General features: G+C 49.1%; 1 protein-coding gene across 5 annotated transcripts in view, besides 5 other annotated features; it reads right to left on the reverse strand.

The window, feature by feature from the left end:
- Positions 1-2,188, reverse strand: part of NAE1 (NEDD8 activating enzyme E1 subunit 1) — a 28,099-nt gene extending 25,911 nt beyond the window's left edge. For all 5 annotated transcript variants that reach the window (XM_047434835.1, NM_001018160.2, NM_003905.4 and 2 more), the window contains exon 1: positions 2,059-2,188. Coding sequence is in view for 2 of the 5 variants with exons in the window: in NM_003905.4 (NP_003896.1) it covers positions 2,059-2,111 (53 nt within the window). In the remaining 3 variants the exon portion in view is untranslated. The remainder of the gene's footprint in view (positions 1-2,058) is intronic.
- Positions 1,663-1,872: a silencer, noted in NCBI's record as "silent region_7568". NCBI's record gives its function as "represses an Ori minimal core promoter by ATAC-STARR-seq in GM12878 lymphoblastoid cells {active_cell/tissue: GM12878}" and the evidence as "EXISTENCE:reporter gene assay evidence [ECO:0000049][PMID:35858748]".
- Positions 1,883-1,942: a silencer, noted in NCBI's record as "silent region_7569". NCBI's record gives its function as "represses an Ori minimal core promoter by ATAC-STARR-seq in GM12878 lymphoblastoid cells {active_cell/tissue: GM12878}" and the evidence as "EXISTENCE:reporter gene assay evidence [ECO:0000049][PMID:35858748]".
- Positions 1,883-2,412: a biological region, named in NCBI's record as "H3K27ac hESC enhancer GRCh37_chr16:66864603-66865103".
- Positions 1,912-2,412: an enhancer, noted in NCBI's record as "H3K27ac hESC enhancer chr16:66864603-66865103 (GRCh37/hg19 assembly coordinates)". NCBI's record gives its function as "activates a minimal SCP1, AML or CMV promoter by ChIP-STARR-seq in primed H9 embryonic stem cells {active_cell/tissue: H9 hESC(primed)}" and the evidence as "EXISTENCE:reporter gene assay evidence [ECO:0000049][PMID:30033119]".
- Positions 1,924-2,148: a silencer, noted in NCBI's record as "fragment chr16:66864615-66864839 (GRCh37/hg19 assembly coordinates)". NCBI's record gives its function as "represses an EF-1alpha promoter that drives an FKBP-Casp9 reporter gene in an ReSE screen in K562 erythroleukemia cells {active_cell/tissue: K562}" and the evidence as "EXISTENCE:reporter gene assay evidence [ECO:0000049][PMID:32094911]".

Here is a 6,000-nt window from a genome sequence, read left to right on the forward strand (position 1 = left end):
CGAGACCAGCCTGGGCAAACCCCCATCTCTAAAACAGTTAGCTAAGCATGGTGGCACATGCCTGTAGTCCCAGCTACTCAAGAGGCTGAGGCAGGAGGATCGTTAGAGCCCAGGAAGTTGAGGCTGCAGTGAGCAGTGTTCTTGCCACTGCACTCTAGCCACTGCACTCTAGCCTGGGTCACAAAGTGAGACCTTGTCCCTGAAAAAAAAAAAAAAAAGAATCCTGGTGTGTCTCTAAGTAACATGTTTCAAGAATAGGCCAAATGAATCAGTCCTCTCTACTATCTTGCTGGCCCAACTAACGTGAAGTAAGGAGGGGCTTATTGACTGCTGCATTTTGCTTCTAACTGCTTCCCTTTGACACTTCAAAACCAGTTCTCACTATGAAAGTAAAGTTTGGGACTTAAATGGAATGCCCTCAGCAAAAACCCTCTTTTGTTAGAGTTGCTTAGTAACCTCAACTATCTTCTCAGCTCTGTCATGTACAGTTATACCTGCATTAGAAACACAAGAACTCCAAGAATTTACAAGAAAACCTAAGTTGGTTATAAGGACTGTTACCCTGTTTCTTCTCCGAAAAGCTTGGAAGCAGGATGTAACTGAGTACCTCCGAAAAAGCCAGAAGAGCCTTAGTTTACATCCTGGCTCAAAGATATGGGGAACTCTGGGCAAATTACCTAACTTCTCCAAGACTCTGTTTCTCCAACTGTAAAGCACAGGAAATGGTTGCTTTCAAGGGTACTCTCAGAACTAAGTGCCTAAAGCCTCTACTACAGCACTAGGCTGGTGGCGCAAACAGAAGCTCCAGTCCTTGGGGACATATAACTTCTGTTGTCTCAGAGGCTCCAGGAAGGAGGAAAGCTGAGCAGCTTTGTTATCTCCACAGCCTCAAGACACAGAAGACGCTCAATAAATAAGGAATGGGTAGTGCAAGGAGAAAAGGCAAGGGTGGGGAAGTACCCAAGGACCCTCCTGATGGCTTAGGCCTGCACTGTCCATTAAGGTAGCTGCTAGCCACATGTACTACTGAGCACAAGCAATGAGGCTAGTGTTAACTGAGATGTGCTGGTAAGTGTAAAATACAATATTTATACGATAGTTTTGGGGGGGCTTTTTTGACGGAGTCTCGCTCTGTCACCCAGGCTGGAGTGCAGTGGCACGATCTCGGCTCCCTGAAACCTACACCTCCTGGATTCAACCGATTCTCCAGCCTCAGCCTCCAGAGTAACTGGGATTACAGGCGCGCACCACCACGCCCAGCTAATTTCTGAATTTTTAAATAGAAACAGGGTTTCACCATGTTGCCCAGGCTGGTCTCGAACTCCTGACCTCAGGTGATCCGCCCGCTTCGGCCTCCCAAAGTGCTGGGATTACAGGCGTGAGCCACCGTGCCGGTCCTCCAAGACAGTTTTAAAAAGGAAAATACTCATGACCAGCTTGGGGAAAGGTGGCAAAAACCTCGTTTCTACAAAAACAAAAATAAAAATAAAAATAAAAATTTAAGTAAAATATCTCAAGAACTTTTTATATTGTGTTGAAATAGTAATGTTTTGGACATATTGGGTTAAATTGTATTTAAAAATCAATTTCATCTGTTTCATTTTACCTTTAGTGTGGTTACTAGAAAATTTATAATTACATTTGCGGCTCACATGAGACTAGCATTTTATTTCCATTGGACAGCGCTGGCTGAGAACAAAACCTAACCCTCTGTGCCGCCCTCGCGGCCGGGATGCGGTGCGCCCCGGGCCTCCCCATTCGGAAAACGAGGAGCCTGGGCGCAACGGGGCCGGCAGCCGCCTTAGCTACCCGGCTGGCGCTGGGGACCCCGTCCCCCGAACTGCACACCGCGTGGCGGGGGAAGGGGTCCCAGCCCTCGCGGAGCACCTTTGGCCCAGGGCGGGAGCTCCGAGCGCCGGCTTCCCGCGCCCCGCACGGCCCGGCCCAGCCTGGAAGAAGGCCTGAGGAAGGCCCGACCGCGCCGCCCGCGCCCTTAGGCCCGGCCCGAATGCTGGAAAGCCCGCCGGCCCGCCCTCGGCTCGGTGAGCCTCGGCTCACCTCAGCTGCCGGTCGTACTTCTGCTCCTTGAGCAGCTTTCCCAGCTGCGCCATGGCCGCGCCTGCCGCGCGGAAAACAGCCGAGCCCCTGCGGAGCGCCGCCACCAGCTCCACAAGCGCGCAGGCGCACTGAGCGCCCCTTCGCCGCTACCGTCTCCTGCGCGCTGCCTGCAGGGGGCGCCGCACTGCACTGCGCACGCGTCGCCGGTACGCCGGGGCCTAAGCGGCCCTGGTACCCGAGCGGGTCTGGGGCTCTTGGTCCCCATCGGCCAGAAAGGCAGACCCGCTAGCCTGCCAATTTGCCCTCTGTCCATGCAGTAATTGGGGGCGACTGGGGCATTGGAATCAGGCATACTTGTATTTCGACCACTTAACTGGCTGTGAGATCTACTCTTTACCTCTCAAATCCTCAGTGTGCTCACCTGTGCAGTGGGGATAAATGGGTCCCAAGTGTCTTTTGACCTTAAATGAGATTTTGAATACAGGAGGCCAGACTCCCCCCAAATCTTGCATGAATAATAACTTTCATTTTGATGATCATTATTTTTCACCCATTTCTTCCTCTCATGAAAAGCCCACAAGCCTATTTTGAATCACAAAGCTAGGGGCTCCCTGCTGCAGATGCAGACAAGTCCAGGGCTCTGTTCTTGGAGAGTTTAGTCTCATGAAGGAAGAGGGACAGCAAACAAGCACTTACCAGACAATGTGGCCTTCCTCTAGATAGAGGGAAGCAGGGTGCTCAGGGGTGCACAGAAGAACCTCCCCAGTCCCCCTCTCCAAGAATGTTTCATGTGGTTTGGAGATGGAGGAGTGTTTTGTTTTGTTTTGTTTTGTTTTGTTTGAGACAGGGTCTCTCTCTATTGCTCAGACTGGAGTTCGGTGGTGTGATCTCAATTCACTGCAGCTTCAACCTCCCAGGCAGCAATCCTCTCACCTCAGCCTCCCAAGTAGCTGGGACTACAGGCATGCACCACCACACCTGGCTAATTTTTGTACATTTTTTGTAGAGATGGGGTTTCGTCATGGCCCAGGCTGGTCTCAAACTCCTGGGCTCAAGCGATCTGCCCGCCTTGGCCTCCCAATGTGCTGAGATTATAGGCATGATCCACTGTGCCCAGCTGGAAGGGTGTTTTAAGCATAAGGAACAGCAGGTGCCATCTCTAGGAAGCAAAGAAGGCATAGCAAGCTGTAGGTGCTAGAGTAAGTTTGGTCAGGTGAAGGATAGGGAGTGGTTGAGAAGGTTTGAGAGACAGTTGGGACAGGCTGGGTTCTGAAGACTGTGAACATAGATCCAAGGAGGAATTTAAAGTCCTCCACTTCCTGAAAAGACCCTCCTTTCAGGAAGAGAACGGCTGTCCTGTGGGGATGGGAGGCCAAGGAAGGAGGTTACCCCATGAGAACAATTGGGAGGGGGGTGGTGGTGCTGAAGACAAGGTGACCATCTGTGAGGGAGACGAAGACTCCTTCCCTGCTATCTCGCAGACCCTACAGGCACCTTCAGGTTAATAACTGCCTGAAATAAGGTGAAAATGAACACAGATCCCCACCCCCAATCCCCTAGGATGGGGACCAGAGAGATGGCACAGTTTGATGGTAATGATGCAGTGATGATGAATTGCACTTTGCCCTGGGCATGGTCTCCTGGACTAGGGTGAGAGTACACCTTCCCATACCTTCCCTTGCCCTTACCCAGCTCCCATGGAACACACTGATGGGAAACAGAGGTGTGAGGCTTTCCCAGCTCATCATGTGTTTGTGCTGTCACATTTCCTTCTCCAAGTGGACAGGTAAAATATAAGGGATAATAAAATACACTCCGGGAAAGTAGGAAGGTCAAAAGGCAGCAGATGAGAGTTCACTGCTTAGTTTCTCATACCTATGGACTTCATGAAAGGAAACACCCACAAATTTGGTAGAAGGCTAGTCATATTGCCCGTGAAGAAGTAAATGATTTTGAAAAGGTTTGTGTTGGTGTTGTCTGTAAAATGATACCTCAGGGTATCAGTTTCCTAGGAATGTCGTAACAAAGAACCACAAACTGGGTGACTTAAAACAAGAGAAATTTATTGTCTCACAGTTCTGGAGGCTGGAAGTCTACAATCAAAGCACGGGTGGGACTATGCTCCTTCTGAAACCTGTAGGGGAGAATCCGTCCGCTTCTTCTTGGCTTCTGGGGGTTTGCTGGCAATCTTTGGCTAGCAGCCACAGCACTTCAGTCTCTGCCTCCATCATCACATGGCATTCTCCCCTCATGTCTCTGTGTTTCCTCTCTTAAGGACACAAGTCACATTGGATCAGGGCTCACACTGATGACTTCATCTTAACTGGTTTACACTTGCAGAGACCCTGTTTCCAAATAAGATCACCTTCACGGGTACTGGCAGGTTAGGACTTCAGTAACTTCTGAGGAGGACATAATTCAGCCCAGAAGCTTTGTATTAATATTATCATTATTTTTTTAGAGGTGGGGTCACACTATATTGCCCAGACTTGTCTCAAACTCCTGGGTTGAAGCAGTCCTCCTGCCTCAGCCCCTCAAAGTACTGGGACTACAGGCATGAGCCACTGCACCTGGCCCTGCCCATTTTTAATAGGGTTATTTGTTTTATTGTTATTGAGCGGTCTGAGTTTGTACATTTTGGATATTAGTCCCTGATCTAATGTATATTTTGTAAATATTTTTTTCTCAATCTGTGGGTTGTCTCTTTATTCTGTCATTTCCTTTGCTGTGCAGAAGCTTTTTAATTTGGTATAAACCCATTTGTCTATTTTTGCTTTTGTTGCCTATGCTTTTGGAGTCTGGTTACTATTTTTTGGCAGCAGTGGGGGACAGGATCTCATTCTTTCACCTGAGCTGGAGTGCAGTGGTATAATCATGGCTCACTGTAGCCACAACCTCCTAGGTTCAAGCAATCCTCCCACTTCAGCCTCCTGAGCAGCTGAGACTACAGGCACCCACCACCACACCTGGCTAATTTTTAGATTATTTTCTGTAGAGATGAAAGTGAAAATAATAATAATAATTCAACCCGTAAAACCATGTAAAGGTGCCTATGCTGGAGCAGAGGAGGCTGATCAGACACAGTTCTTTTGACGGCCCTGACATGAAAGAATTCAGGGCCCACTGGTGAGTTCTCCCTGTTGTGGAGGGTGGAAACCAGATATATCAGACCAGGAAGCCATGGTGTAATTCATTTAAGCTATTGGTTTTCAAAGTGTGGTCCTGGACCAGCGGCATCAACATCACTTTGGAAACTTGTTAGAAAGGCAAATTCGGCCAGGCGCGGTGGCTTACGCCTGTAATCCCAGCACTTTGGGAGGCAGAGGCGGGTGGATCATGAGGTCAGGAGATCGAGACCACGGTGAAACCCCGTCTCTACTAAAAATACAAAAAATTAGCTGGGCGCAGTGGTGGTCGCCTCTAGTCCCAGCTACTCGGGAGGCTGAGGCAGGAGAATGGCGTGAACCAGGAAGGTGGAGCTTGCAGTGAGCCGAGATCCCGCCACTGCACTCCAGCCTGGGCGACAGAGTGAGACTCCGTCTCAAAAAAAAAAAAAAAAAAAAAAAGAAAGGCAAATTCTTGGCTGGGTACAGTGGTTCATGACTGTAATTCCAGCACTTTGGGAGGCCAAGGCAGGAGGATTCCTTGAGGCCAGGAGTTTGAGACTAGCCTGAGCAACATAGCAAGACCCTGTCTCTACAAAAAGAAAAAAAAAAATTAAAAATTAGCCAGGCATGGTGGTGTATGCCTGTAGTACTAGCTACCTGGAAGGCTAAGGTGGGAGGATCACTTGAGCCCAGGAGTTTGTGGTTGCAGTGAGCTATGATCTCGCCACTGCACTCCAACCTGGGCAACAGAGTGAGACATTCCTCTCTTAAAAAAAATTAAGTATTAAAAAAAAAAAAAGAAAGCCAGGTAAGGTGGTTCACTCCGGTAATCCCA

Source organism: Homo sapiens, chromosome 16, assembly GCF_000001405.40.
Source record: "Homo sapiens chromosome 16, GRCh38.p14 Primary Assembly".
Classification (NCBI taxonomy): Eukaryota; Metazoa; Chordata; class Mammalia; order Primates; family Hominidae; genus Homo; species Homo sapiens.